Consider the following 15,778-nt stretch of genomic DNA (forward strand, 5'->3'; position numbering starts at 1 on the left):
TAATCTGAGAAGGGCTACCTGGAATCCAGGTATGTTCAGCATGGAGGCTCCATCTTCCCTTTTCTTTGTCACCATGTGTACAGTAAAGAAACAGGCAACATGGCACTGGCCAGGTAGAGAACCCATCTGCATAATCAAATGTTAGGGTGCGGTGGCCAAATTCTTTGGATGCTATGCAAATGGCACACCTGGTTAGACCAATCTTTTGTGCCCTAGGTAAATCTGATATCACCCCCTCAAGCTCATCTACAAAACCTTCTGCATTTCACTGTGGAAGCAGTGACCCGTTTTCTCCAGGACCCTTCTCTGCTCAGAGAGCTCTTTCTTTCTTTCTCCTATTAAACTTCTGCTCTTAACCTCCCTCTGGTGTGTCTGTGTCCTAGTTTTCCATGGCTGTGAGACAATGAACCTCGCGTATTACCCCAGACAGTGACGCCGCTTCAATAGTGAGTAAGTTCTTGTGAGATCTGGTTGTTTAAAAGTGTATAGCATCCCCTCTCTCACTCTCTTGCTCCTGCCATGGGAGATGCTCGCTCCCCCTTTGCCTTCTGCCATGATTGGAAGCTTCCCGAGGTTCTCCTCAGAAACAGAAGCAGCTGTGCTTCCTTTACAGCCTGCAGAACTGTGAGTCAATTAAACTTTTCTTTATAAATTACCCAGTCTCAGGTAGTTCTTTATAGCAATGTGAGAACAGACTAAAAAAAGCAACCGGCTATTGTTTTCAAGGGGTGTTGCCATATTGAGTGCACAGTGTCATTCTGTACTGTAGGCAGTTGGGGCTTGAACAGCAGCTGTGACATTGTTGGAAAAGAGGTGACGCTCTTGGTCCTGTGCATACCATTCATCCTCATGTTAAGTTGGCTCATGAGGCCATTATGTGAGCCCTGAGGTGGTTAAGATGAAAGACTGGCTGATACCCATGGGACATGTCATCATGTCCAACTGGCTGTTGAGAAATTCCTGAGTTCGTTTAGGTGATTAATATGAAACACAAAATTTTGCATGCTGTGTGCCTACTCCAAAATTCTCACTCACATACTTCTTCTAAAGGCTTTCTCATCCTTCATTTTTCAGTATTATTACTCCTGGAACACTAGTAGGCTAGTTGCCTTTTCCCAAAAGTCATTGCACATTCTAACCTCAGACCAAGCTCCCTCCAAATGAAGTGGGTAGTCAACTGTGTTGCTCATACCCCTGACTACAAGAAGGATTTCCCAATGCTACAATCCTCACTAAATGGGGCTGTATTGTAGAAGATGTCAATTCCCAGTAATTGATAAGCATTACTTCAATACATTTTTGAATGATGCCCAAGTCAGCATGCATCAGCTGGCCATAGGGAATCCCCATTCTATGGTGCAATTGGTGTGCTTTAAGCAAGAAGTACCAGTGCATCAGAGGTAGATGCCATAGACTGCCTATTTCTGTAATTTAATTATATCATCAGTATATACTCAAGCCTGATCCTGAATGTATGACTTCTCTTACATAATGTATTTTTGCTGTGCCCACAAATATTATCTGATAAAATGGATCAGATAATGGCTTCTCAGGCCATGTATTCATTTGGCATTCCATATTCAAATACTCAGTCTCAGTTAGATTCAAGTAGCATGCCAAGGTTATTTTTTCAAACCAAAAGTAATCTCGTGATGTGGAGGGCATAATTTTACTCCAGAAACCAAGAGATCTGTACTCTATTATCGTCTATTGGGGTTTGACAAGATAAGGATCCTTACGTGTCACTCTAGCACAGTATTTCTCAACTGGGGGCTATTTTATCTCCCAGGAGGAAGTTGTAGCTATCTGGAGATGTTTTTGGTTGTCATAATTTGAATAGGGATTGCTACTGGCATCCAGTGGGTAGAAACCAGAGAAGCTGCTAAACATCCTACCATACACTGGATACTTCTTTCTCCACAACAACAAAAAATAATCAAGCTCAAAATGTGAATAGTACTGAGGTTGAGAAACTGGTCTAGCACTATTGAATCTAATGCGTTCTATGATTTGAGGTTGGACAGATTATACTGTATCCTAGACATGCTGCAAATATTTCCTTTGTTCTTGACCACACTTGAAACTTGAAGGATTCTTCATTCAATACATGGATTGGAGCAGTTTTCTAAGTATGATGAATGCGGTCTCCAAAATCCCCTGTCCTCCTTCAAAAAGCTCATAACATGCTGTGAGAGATGTGAAGTGTAACAGTTGCATTGACCTCAGAGGGAATATCTCTGTATCTTCTGGACCATATATGACGCTTGAAAACTTTACCACATTCATTCTCTACTGATTGGGTTAAATTCTCATTCTGTGAAGAACTTCAAGATGATTAAGGTTCCCATAGAACTACTTTATGACAAAGAGAAGAAAATTACACTGCCTTGGGCCAAGAGAGTAAAAGGCAGTAGAAGTGTATTGTTGTCTTTATTGTGTAATGGTGAACAATTTTTGAGTCTTCCTGATGATGGTGAACAAGAAAAACCATCATTTACAAAGTCACTATAAATTATGCAACATAAATTGTGTTAATCTATTACAGTAAAGACTAGGCCACATTTTGAACAGCATCTGAAATTGGAACCAACACTTGGTTATGTTTATAGTATTTCACTATCATTTGCTACAACTCATCTGCTTTTTTGCAGAGACTAGAGAGATGAATTGAATATGGGTATAGTAAGTCTCTTGTATTTGTTAAATTTTAGTGATCCTAATCTTCAGTTTTTCCTGAATTGCTCTGTTTCCTTTATTTTCTTGGCACAGGAGAAATAGGGCATGTTGAGGGCTTTCCACTTGACTCTTTTATGATGGCCCTTACTCCACAAATCAGAAAAGCGACATAAGTTCCTGCCAGGTGTTACGTATATCAATCCTAATTTTACATGTAAGAAACCTGAAGATAACTACAAGGTGGGTTCACATGAATTGGACATAATATGAGAGATTGGGTTCAAAATTCCATGCTACATGCAGGGTCAAGAATTAGGTGAGGCAAGCAAAACACTTAGGGAACAAAATCTGAGGAGAAAATTATTCTCAGGGCTGTGCAAGTACAAACCCTGCACTTGCATAACAATGAGAGTGAGTGCTTTCTTAACATTTGTTTCCTATGCATCTCATTCACCTTACCCTGGTCTCAGTCCTAATCACCTGACCTTTCTAAGTCCCACTGTAAACCTAGGAGGTTATATCTCACAGTATCTCATAGTTTAAAACATCTCTAATGCACAATCACCTGGGAAACTGAAGAATTTGAGAAAAGGAATACTTATTGCATATACTTATGGTCCTTTTCAAAAGCAACCATCCTCCACTTTGATCAATGGGTTCTGGCTTCATGAACTGACTTCAATCTAAAATCAAGAAACCCTACATTTTTTGTATTGTCACAGCTGATCTAAGTCTTTTGCTTCCGCTTCCTCTTCCTCTCCCTCTGCCTCTCCCTATACATAGTGATTAGTACCCTCCTTGGCTGCCCCTAGATCTCGGTTCTATAAGCACCATAAATTAGGTATTTTCTGCAGTTTCAGGATATGAGTCTTCTTTAAATCTGACATAGAGACTCTAGCTTTGAAAGCATGCCTTAAATTGCAATTGACTGCTAGAATCTACATTCTCCAGTTTCGTTCTCCTGTTCTATACTGCTGTAAAAATAAGACGTCTTCCTCCTAAATTCTTATAATTGTCATTGCCCTTATACTGACTAAATATCTTAGCTACTTGATCCCCCAATGCCTGCTGTCCCAGACTAATTTAGGATCAAGAAGTAAAATAGTCATCATGGGGATATATATTGACAAGTTTATCTGAATTAAAAATTAAGTAATTAAAAAAGTTAAAAGTAGATACATAATGACATTCTTTCTCACATAAAATATGTCTTATTTGCCTAATTGCTTTTGCTAATTAATTTATATGCAGGCATTTCCCATGAACCAAATGTTCAGCTCCAACATTTTCCAAAATATATTTCAAGCACAAGAAAACATAAAAGCTCTTAATCCAAAATGTAATATTTTAAAAATGCATTAAAATTAACATTATTTTATTTTTTCCCAATAATCTAAGTCTATCAAATTAAGCCAGATGTCTTTAAATTAAAAGTTTCCAGAAAAAACATAATAGACATGTATTAGTCTCGGTATATTTTTTTGATACACATCTCAGATGTGTATTGTTGTTGTATTGTGTTGTGGTTCTTTGTTTCTTATAAAATTCAAGTAGGACCCAACTTCATGACCAGGGTGAGGTAAACGAGACACTTTGAGAGAAAATCTTAAGAAGGCATTCAGTTTCAGAGCCATGCAAGTGCCCACCCTGCTCTTGCATGACCCCAAAAGAGTGCCTCCTTGCTTGTCTCCCCCAGCCCTGACCACAGTATGACACAATTAAAATGTTAACTGATAGATCATTAAAGACACCTTTTGATCTTATATCAGTTTGTAATTTTTGTTGTGTAACTCAGAAGAGGTTCAAAGGAATGACTACCATTGCTCAATTTCTATCTTTAGGAATAGACTTCTTCTGGCATATATGTATATCCATTTTATGCTGACTTTCCATATGTGTGTGTGTGTGTGTGTGTGTGTGTGTGTGTGTGTGTGTACTTCATATAAATTGAGTTATATATTATATATATAATTTATGTATATAAATTGAAAAGTAGGCATAAAATGAATGCTCAATCCTTTCTTATTCTAGTAATAAATCATAATCATCCAAAGAAAAAGACATACTTTTATGTAATTGTTTGTATTAGTTTCTTATAGCTGCTGTAACAAATTACTGCAAGCTTCTTTGCTTAAAACAGCAGAAACTCAACATCTTACAGTTCTGCAGGTTAGGGGTCTATATGAGTCTTACAAGGCTAAAATCCAGGTATCTGCAAGGCTGTGTTCCTTCTGAATGCCCCAGAGGTGAATCCCTTTCCTTGCCTTTTCCAGCTCCCAGAGGTCACCTGCATTCCTTGGCTCATCTCAGTCTTCAAAGTGCATCATTCCAATACCTGCTGTGTCATCACAGCTTCTTTTTCTGCCTCTGACCCTTTCGTCTCCTCTTATAAGGACTCTTGTGATTATGTTGGATCCTCCCAGATAATCCAGGATCATCACTCCATCTCAAGATCTTTAATTTAATTGCATCTGAAAAGTCCTTTTACCATGTAAAGTAACATAATTACAGATTATGGGGATTAGAACATGAACATTTGTGAATGGGTTATTATGCTGTCTACCATAACCCCCTTCCACCTCATTGGAATGAATTTTAAATAAAATTTTAATATTTATATTAAAAATTCTTTATTAATGTTAATATTTTTATGAAATCAATTTTTTACTAATAAATGTTCATGTTTTAATCCAAGGGCATGGATTTAACATGATTTCTATGATTATAGAAAATTCAAAAAATATATTGTGCAGCTATATGTTTTCATTATAAAATGTATGATCAAATGACAATATAACAATATTTTGTATAGAAAAATGTACTACAGAAAGGCAAAATTCATTTAGAAAGTGAAAGAAGTATATGTATTCAAAAGGAAATGAAATGATGCAATTTTCTAAATGTTACAGAAGACCTATTTCATGTGATATATAAACAGATAAAGACATGTGTCAGAGAATCAGGATTTAAATTTCTTTGGCTATATTAAAAACACAAAGAAACTATTATTTAAAAAAGTAAATATTTACAATATGCTAGGAATTATGTAATTTATAGTTATTTGATCTTATGATAGAAATGTTTGGTCATAATATAAAACTGTATGATAGGTTACATAGCTTTCAAAATTATTTTGTAAGATAAATGAGCAAAAATTAGTAACCTCCAGCTGTAGGCTGTAATTGTCATAGTGAAATATTGTTCCAGGTTTGGAGAGTGCCCATCAGTACCAGAAATTGCTGCAAACAGAATTTGATGCATAATCAGTATGTAACCTATTTTCAGTCCCAGTCTATCTGCCTGAGTCTTCATTTATAAATGGTAGTAATAGCACCACCTTTGTTCTCAGGGTTGTTGTCAATAACAAATGAGACACTTTGTCTAATTTTTTTCATAAACATATAGTATAAGCTGCAGTTATTAATGTTGCTTAATTTTATGACAGCAATAACCAGTAACAGGGCTTTTCCTTCACCCTGTGTTTTGGAGACAAATCTGTTATGAACCTGCTTATGAGGAGATCAAAAGATCAAGTAGGAAATCCTGACAAATGCTCTTCTTCTCACTCATTAAATTGCCCCTAAGGGGAGACTTCAAAGGGAATGACTAGTGACTGTTTACTGACTGGCAATAGTTCAGGTCTTTGGAGATTTTTCTTTTACACAAAATCTTTCAAAGGGGACTTTTAAAGGTTACATTGAAATATGTCATTCCTACTCCTCAATCTTCATGCCTCTGACCTCAGAAGGACACTAATAATAGCTTTGTGAAGGGGAATTTGCTACTCACTAGAGATATTGGCAATAATTACTTGGTGGGAAAAGCTAATGATTTTCTCACTTACAGGAAGACTGGTGCTTCCACTAGTTGTTGTTCCTTTGGTAAATTGAAAGGCTTTTCTTATGATAATGTGGAGAATGAATGAACAGCACATTAAGGAGCTTTCTGAATAGGGAAATGTACTGACATTTCAGCATTATCTGAATTATGTGTTAAGAGTAGCTTAGTCAAATTAAAATGAATGGCAGGTCAAAGCAAAAATCACAAGCTCTTTCTTATTACTCAGAATATATATTAAGTGTTCTCTAATTCTAAGAGTCCAAAATATATTAGACAATTTAGTTTACAGGGACAGGTTAGTTTACAGGGACAAGTTATCATTATGGGGTTTGGGTAGGAGACCTGGAGAAATTTGAAGTTCTAACTCTCCATTCTAACCAAGCTTTGACAAGCCAACTCTTACCCTTCACTTTGCTACTTTATAGCCTTCCCATGTTTTGGTTAACTTTTTACATAGTACAGCTTTATAGTGGAAATGGCTTAAACTGGAGTTTCTGAGAATCTAATCCCCTTTCTACCTTTAATTTACTCCTTGACATGTGGTAAATCACCTTATTTCTCTGCTTCTCATTTATAAATTTCTGACGGTTGTGTTAGATCAATTCTTTTTTTAACAAGCTACACAAATAATGATCATGGTGTTACAGAAACCACTCCCTTGGGCTGGGCTTGAGACTCGGAAAAGCCCCAGCTTTCCTGATTTTATAAGAAGGAAACCTCTTTTATGAACAGAACACTAACTTTACTATTTTCACACTAACTTTACTATTTGCTTTTCCACTCCAGAAAGCTATTAATTGGTGACATGGAGATTATTATAAGGCTAACCTTGAATGTGCTTTAATTAATTTAAAAAATATATGTTTTGATTATGAAATGGTAGATGAAGGTGATAGACATCCAATGAGGAGAATAATGACCACAGAGAGAATGTGACCTTCCAAATGACATAGCATCTTTGCAAATCATCTTGTGAAAAAAAAAATCCTCAAAGTCAAAGGAAGCTGGGAAGTTCTTCTAGATGGCTAAGGGTTTGTTGAGCTGACACTGGATGAGTTAGAAGATGAAAGAAGCTAAAACTGAACCTTAGAAAGGAAAGAGTAATGTGAAAACCTCTGGCCCATCTTCAGAAAACTTGCAACATATACAACCTCTTTTGAAAACAGAAAGTCACAGGCCAATAGCTATATAAATTCCACATTAAAAGAAGGCTATGCAGATGAAAGTCTGATTGCCAAATGGAACAGAGAAGGTTATGCGGACCTGTGCTGCCTATGATATATTCAAGGTGCCAACTCTGGAACCCACTTCATTTGCTGGGCTTGAAGCTGCATGAGGGAGTGATCATCAAGGGTCTTCAGTGTGGCTGCAGGGGTAGCTCTGGCTGAGGCTGCTCTGAGCCCAATTCCCATCCTGCCCCAGACCTTGGACTTTAATGATGGCTGCTTTTTCACTTGCACCTGCCACCCCATTTCCTGGTAGGTTCTTCTCTGTATAGCAGGAACCTAAGTCAGAGTTAAAGCATAGTCTCTATAGTTGATGGCTTTGGTTTTCATCAAGTGCAATTATTTGTAATTTTAAAAAATAAATCCCTTAAACCTCAAAAAAAGTAATTTGGATACACTTGTACTTTGCTTGTAATATGTCCTCTAGAGTAAGACATGTTTCCGAACTCATTCTAAGAACTATACTGTTGGCTTCAACTTTTACCAACAGTCTCACCTAAACTTATTTCTTTTCCTATTATGTCTGAGGAAAAGGTTAACATCTACTTGTCAGACAAGTAGCAGTTTACAACAACTCCGGAGGAGGAAAAAAAATGCCTTAAATTGTCAGTTCCAAGAACCTCATTGGACTATACTTTTTCAAAGGATGGAGTCTTAGGAAGAATGTAAATAAGTCTGTATCTTCTTTTGCCCAAGAGCTTTCTAAAGAAAACTCAGCTTTAGGGTTTTGTTTCTCTTGTGTCTCTTTCCTTCTTTGGCAGAAATCCTTGGATAAAGATTCTGACATCCTTTTCTCTTTCTCTTGTGCTCTTCTTTGTTCCCTCTGGATTTTCCCCACAAAGCCTGGAGCCCAGAAGCTTTGGAAGCTGCCCCTTCTATTACAAAGTTGTGTGGCATAAAGCCTATATCATCTCTGCTCTAGGCATTTGTAAACTCTCTTATATTATTTTGCTTGTCTCTTCTCCCTGGCTACAGGTTCTGCTTGGACCACTTTTTCCTTTCATCAGAATTTTATGACAGAGCGGCTTAGAATTCAGGCATGAGTTTATAGAGACAGAAACAAAGGGGGTTCAATCTGTTTGGCTTCAAGGTTTCAGGCTCATCTTTAGCCAAGCAAAAAATATTACATAAGGACAAGTCCAGCCAAACAGGCTGCTGTGCTGAGCTTTTGAATCAAAGCCTCATAGTAATCAAATGACAGCACTTACCTGTGTTTTACCCAAGTCACATCTTTGCCCTTGCTGTGATTCTAGTTGTCAAGTTAGATAATAAATAACTTGAACATGATTTTAGACTATCGTGAACGAACTAGTAGAGGAAGAGAGGATACAAAATCAGAAAATAGAGGGAATGATAATGAAGCCAGGTCCCTTTATTTTTCTTGTCCATTAATTTTCCTTGAGGTGTAATGAAGAGAGTTAGTGTTAAGTGAACAGCCAAGAACATAATTGGGAGATTCAGAATTCAGTGCTCAAGTCTTTCCCTAAGCACATTTTATTCCCAACGCTGCGTGATATCAATTCTACTTTTGCTCCAGGTTTAATTCCATCCCACAAAGAGGAACTCAGTTTCATCAATATTTCCCATATTTTCTGATTCTTCATTCTCTTGTCCTCCACTAACTTCTTCCCTTCATCCTATAAACATGTTCAAATTACTCATTATCTTAAAATGGCAATGACAAGGATAAAGATGTGAGTTCAGTAATACTGGAACATGTATTCGGCTAAAGCGACTCGTGGACATGACAGTTCAGGCTGCATGGCAACTTGGGAAATCAACAGAAAGAAGTGAGGAATAAGTCATGGATATTCAGAAAACTGAATGTGTGAATTAATGGCATGCATTTGAATCTTCTTTGTAAGCAGAGCCAAGTGCATGCTGTTCATAGTGGTTTTGGAATTTTGGTATCCAAAACTACAGAGTCAGGATGGGCCCAAACTCCAGAGAGCTATGGGTGCTCTTGATGATGAGGTTTAGTTATGTGGGGGCTTGGTAGGAGCAGAAACCACAGTTATTCTGCAGTGGGAAGGTGTTGAGGAGCTTATGGAATATGAAGTGATCATTTAGGAGGTGGCAGCACTTGAAGTATTCTACGAATTCTCTGTGTAAACTCTGAAGTAGGAGAGGGAAACCAAAGCTTAGGGGACTTTAAATAGGCTCATCTAAAAGTAGGACCCAGCTAGGAGCCCCAGTCCAAGATCAAAATGTTAGGGCCAGCTCTGAAAGTAGAATATCTCCTAGAATATGGCTATAAATCTTTTTCTGAAGGAGAAATATGGCAAGGTAACTAGATTAGCCTTATTTAACACAACTGTACTAAAACAACTATTTACCTCACAGAATTTTGAATCAGTATACTAAAGGGTGAGACTTGAACATAATATGTGCATTGTTTTAATTTTTTTTTAAATTATATTACTTGACTTCAAATTTTACAAGGCTATAGTAACCTAAACAGCATAGTATTGGCATAAAAATACACACACAAATGAATGGAATAGTATAGAGAACCTGGAAATAAAGCCACATACCTAAAGTCAACTGACCTTCAACAAAGTTGACAAAGACAAAAACATATACTGGGGGAACAGACACCCTATAAATAGTGCTAGGGAAATTGGATAGTCATATGCAGAAGAATAAAACTGGGTCCCTATCACTCACCATATATAAGTACTAACTCATGATGGATTAAAGACTTAAATATAAGACTGGAAACTATTAAAAAATACTAGAATACATGCTTTGAAATGTGATTCATCACATAAACAGAACTAAAGATAAAAAAAATGATTACCTCAATAGATTCAGAAAAGGCTTTTGATAAAATTCAACATCCCTACATGTTAAAAACTCTCAATAAACTAGGTATTGAAAGAACATACCTCAAAATAGTAAGAGCCAACAATGACAAACTTACAGCCAACACCATACTGAATGGACAAAAGCTGGAAGCATTCCCCTTAAAAACTGGCACAAGACAAGTATGCCCTCTCTCACTACTTCTATTCAACATAATATTGGAAGTCCTGGCCAGAGCAATCAAGCAAGAGAAAGAAATAAAAGGCATCCCAATAAGAAGAGAGGAAGTCAAACTATCCCTGTTTGTAGACAACATGCTTCAATATCTAGAAAACCTCATAGTCTTGGACCAAACACTCTTTCAGCTGATAAACAACTTCAGTAAAGATTCAGGACAAAAAATTGATCTACTAAAATTATTAGCATTTTTATACGCCAACAACAGCCAACCTGAGAGCCAAATCAGGAACACAATCCCATTCACAATTGCCATAAAAAGAATAAAATACCTAGAAATAGAGCTAATCAAGGAGGTGAAAAATCACTATAATGAGAATTACGAAACATTGATCAAGGAAATAAGAGATCACAGAAACAAATTACAGAAATAGATTACAGAAACATGAAAAACATTCCATGCTTATGGATAGGTAGATTCAATATCATTAAAATAACCACATTGCCCAAAGCAACTTGCAGATTCAATGCTATGCCTATCAAACTACCAATGACATTCTTCACAGAACTAGAACTACTTTAAAATTCATATAGAACCAAAAAAGAACCCAAATAAGCAAGGCAATCCTAAGCAAAAAGAACAAAGCTGAGGGCATCACATTACCTGACTTCAAACTGTACTGTGGGGCTACAGTAACCAAAACAGCATGGTCCTGGTACAAAAACAGATACATAGACCAATGGAATAGAATAGACAGCCCAGAAATAAGGTCATATACCTACAACCATCTGATCTTTGACAAAGATGACAAAAACAAGCAATGGGAAAAGGACTCCCTATTCAATAAATGGTGCAGGGATAACTGGTTAGCCATATGAAAAAAATTCAAACTGAACCCCTTCCTTACACCAATACAAAAATCAAGTCAATATGGATTAAAGACTTCAATGTAAAACCCCAAACTTTAAAAACCCTGGAAGATGACCCAGGCAATACCATTCTGGATATAAGAACAGGAAAAAACTTCATGATGAAGAGGCTGAAAGCAATCGCAACAAAAGCAAAAACTGACAAGTGGGATCGAATTAAACTAAAGAGCTTCTGTACAGCAAAAGAAACTATCAACAAGAGTATACAGACAACCTACAGAACAGGAGAAAGTATTTGCAAACTATGCATCTGACGAAAGCCTAATATCCAACATCTATAAATAACTTAAGCAAATTTACAAAAAAAAAAAACTCCATTAAAAGTTGGGCATAGGACGTGAACAGACACTTTTCCAGAGAAGGCATTCATGTGGCCAAGAAACATGAAGAAAAGCTCAATATCACTGATCATTAGAGAAATGGAAATCAAAACCACTATGAGATACCATCTTACATCAATCAGGGTAGCTACTATTGAAAAGTCAAGAAATAACCGATGCTGCTGAGGTTGTGGGAAAATGGGAACACTTGCACACTGTTTATGGGAGTATAAATTAGTTCAATCATTGTGGAAAGCAGTGTGGCAATTCCTCAAAGACCTAAAACAAACAAACAAACAAAAGCAATCCCATTACTGGGTATATACCCAAAGAAATATAAATTGTTCTACAATAAAGACACATGCGTGTGAATGTTCATTGCAGCACTATTCACAATAGCAAAGACATGAAATCAAACTATATGCCTATCAATGATAGACTAGATAAAGAAAATGTGGTACATATACATCACGGAATACTATGCAGCCATAAAAAAGAATGAGATCATGTCTTTTGCAGGGACATGGATGGAGCAGGAGGCCATTATCCTTAGCAAACTAACCCAGAAACAGAAAATCAAATACTTCATGTTCTCACTTGTAACTGGGAGCTAAATGATGAGAACTCATGGGCACCAAGAAGGGAAAAACACATATGGGGGCCTACCTGAGGATAGAGGGTGGAAGGAGAGAAAGGATTAGGAAAAATAACTAATAGATACTAGGCTTAGTACCTGGGTGATGAAATCGTCTGTACAACAATTCCCCACAAAATGAATTTGCCTTAACTATGGGGTACTAAGCTTAGTACCTGGGTGATGAAATAATCTGTACAACAAAACCCCACAACATGAGTTTGCCTATATAACAAACCTGCACATGTACCCCTGAACCTAAAGTAACAGTTTAAATTTAAAAAAAAGATTCTCAATTAATAGCCTACGAACCAAAAAAAAGTCCAGGACCAGACAAATTCACAGCCAAATTCTACCAGAGGTACAAAGAGGAGCTGGTACCATTCCTTCTGAAACTATTCCAATCAAAAGAAAAAGAGGGAATTCTCCCTAACTCATTTTATGAGGCCAGCATCATCCTGATAGCAAAGCCTGGCAGAGACACAACAAAAAAAGAGAATTTCAGACCAATATCCCTGATGAACACTGATGCAAAAATCCTCATTAAAATACTGGCAAACCAAATCCAGCAGCACATCAAAAAGCTTATCCACCAAGATCAAGTTGGCTTCATCCCTGGGATGCAAGGCTGGTTCAACATACGCAAATCAATAAATGTAATCCATCACATAAACAGAACCAATGACAAAAACCACATGATTATCTCATAGATGCAGAAAAAGCCTTTGACAAAATTCAACAGCCCTTCATGCTAAAAACTCTCAATAAGTTAGGTATTGATGGAACATATCTCAAAATAACAAGAGCTATTTATGACAAACTCACAGCCAATATCATACTGAATGGGCAAAAACTGGAAGCATTCCCTTTGAAAACTGGCACAAGACAGGGATGCCCTGTCTCACCACTCCTATTCAACATAGTGTTGTAAGTTCTGGCCAGGGCAATCAGGCAAGAGAAAGAAACAAAGGGTATTCAATTAGGAAAAGAGGAAGTCAAATTGTCCCTGTTTGCAGATGACATGATTGTATCCTTTAGAAAACCCCATCGTCTCAGCCTGAAATCTCCTTAAGCTGATAAGCAACTTTAGCAAAGTCTCAGGATACAAAATCAATGTGCAAAAATCACAAGCATTCCTATATACCAATAACAGACAGAGAGCCAAATCATGAGAGAACTCCCATTCACAATTGCTACAAAGAGAATAGAATACCTAGGAATCCAACTTACAAGGGATGTGAAGGACCTCTTCAAGGAGAACTACAAACCACTGCTCAATGGAATAAAAGAGGACACAAACAAATGGAAGAACATTCCATGCTCGTGGATAGGAAGAATCAATATCGTGAAAATGGCCATACTGCCCAAGGTAATTTATAGATTCAATGCCATCCCCATCAAGCTACCAATGACTTTCTTCACAGAATTGGAAAAAACTACTTTAAAGTTCATATGGAACCAAAAAAGAGCCTGCATTGCCAAGACAATCCTAAGCAAAAAGAACAAAGCTGGAGGCATCACGCTACCTGACTTCAAACTATACTACAAGGCTATAGTAACCAAAACATCATGGTAGTGGTACCAAAGCAGATATATAGACCAATGGAACAGAACAGAGGCCTCAGAAATAACACAACACATTTACAACTATCTGATATTTGACAAACCTGACAAAAACAAGAAATGGGGAAAGGAATCCCTATTTAATAAATGGTGCTGGGAAAACTGGCTAGCCATGTATAGAAAGCTGAAACTGAATCCCTTCCTTACACCTTATACAAAAATCAATTCAAGATGGATTAAAGACTTAAACGTTAGACCTAAAACCATAAAAACCCTAGAAGAAAACCTAGGCAATACCATTCAGGACATAGGCATGGGCAAGGACTTCATGACTAAAACACAAAAAGCAATGGCCACAAAAGCCAAAATTGACAAATGGGATCTAATTAAACTAAAGAGTTTCTGCACAGCAAAAGAAACTACCATCAGAGTGAACAGGCAACCTACAGAATGGGAGAAAATTTTTGCAATCTACCCATCTGACAAAGGGCTAATATCCAGAATGTACAAAGAACTTACATTTACAAGAAAAAAATCTAACAACCCCATCAAAATGTGAACAAAGGATATGAACAGACACTTCTCAAAAGAAGACATTTATGCAGCCAACAGACACATGAAAATATGCTCATCATCACTGGTCAGAGAAATGCAAATCAAAACCACAATGAGATACCATCTCACACCAGTTAGAATGGCGATCATTAAAAAGCCAGGAAACAACAGATACTAGAGAGGATGTGGAGAAATAGGAATGCTTTTACACTGTTGGTGTAAATGGTTCAATCATTGTGGAAGACAGCATGGCTATTCCTCAAGGATCTAGAACTAGAAATACCATTTGACCCAGCCATCCCATTACTGGGTATATACCCAAAGGATTATATATCATGCTACTATAAAGACACATGCACACGTATGTTTATTGTGGCACTACTCACAATAGCAAAGACTTGGAACCAACCCAAATGTCCATCAATGATAGACTGGATTAAGAAAATGTGGCACATATACACCATGGAATACTATGCAGCCATAAGAAACGATGAGTTCATGTCCTTTGTAGGGGCATGGATGCACCTGGAAACCATCATTCTGAGCAAACTATCACAAGGACAGAAAACCAAACACCGCATGTTCTCACTCATAGGTGGGAAGTGAACAATGAGAAAACTTGGACACAGGGTGGGGAACATCACACACCGGGGCCTGGCGTGGGGTGGGGGGATGGGGGAGGGATAGCATTAGGAGAAATACCTAATGTAAATGACGAGTTAATGGGTGCAGCAAACCAACATGGCACATGTATACCTACGTAACAAATCTGCACATTGTGCACATGTACCCTAGAACTTAAAGTATAATTAAAAAAAAAAAAAAAAAGAAAGATTCACCTGAAGATCTTCATTTGTGTCTGGCTTGAATTCTGTTTGGCGATTGTGAGCACCCTGCAGTATCTTCAAAGGAAAGAAGGAAGTTTGAGTCCGAAGTTTATAGTTTGCATACCCCCTTGGATGAATGGAATTCAGTCATGTTGCCAGAAAGTACTGAGTTTAATCTAAAATATTTGTCTCACATAGCTATTTAGTAAGGAGGTAAATCGAGAC

General features: G+C 37.3%; 1 long non-coding RNA gene across 1 annotated transcript in view, besides 1 other annotated feature; it reads left to right on the top strand.

Moving 5' to 3' along the window:
* The window catches only part of LINC01982 (long intergenic non-protein coding RNA 1982), a 145,180-nt gene that overhangs the window by 54,677 nt on the left and 74,725 nt on the right, over positions 1 to 15,778 (top strand). The window lies entirely within an intron of this gene.
* Positions 5,968 to 6,817: an enhancer, noted in NCBI's record as "NANOG hESC enhancer chr17:50528526-50529375 (GRCh37/hg19 assembly coordinates)". NCBI's record gives its function as "activates a minimal SCP1, AML or CMV promoter by ChIP-STARR-seq in naive H9 embryonic stem cells {active_cell/tissue: H9 hESC(naive)}" and the evidence as "EXISTENCE:reporter gene assay evidence [ECO:0000049][PMID:30033119]".

Source organism: Homo sapiens, chromosome 17, assembly GCF_000001405.40.
Source record: "Homo sapiens chromosome 17, GRCh38.p14 Primary Assembly".
Classification (NCBI taxonomy): Eukaryota; Metazoa; Chordata; class Mammalia; order Primates; family Hominidae; genus Homo; species Homo sapiens.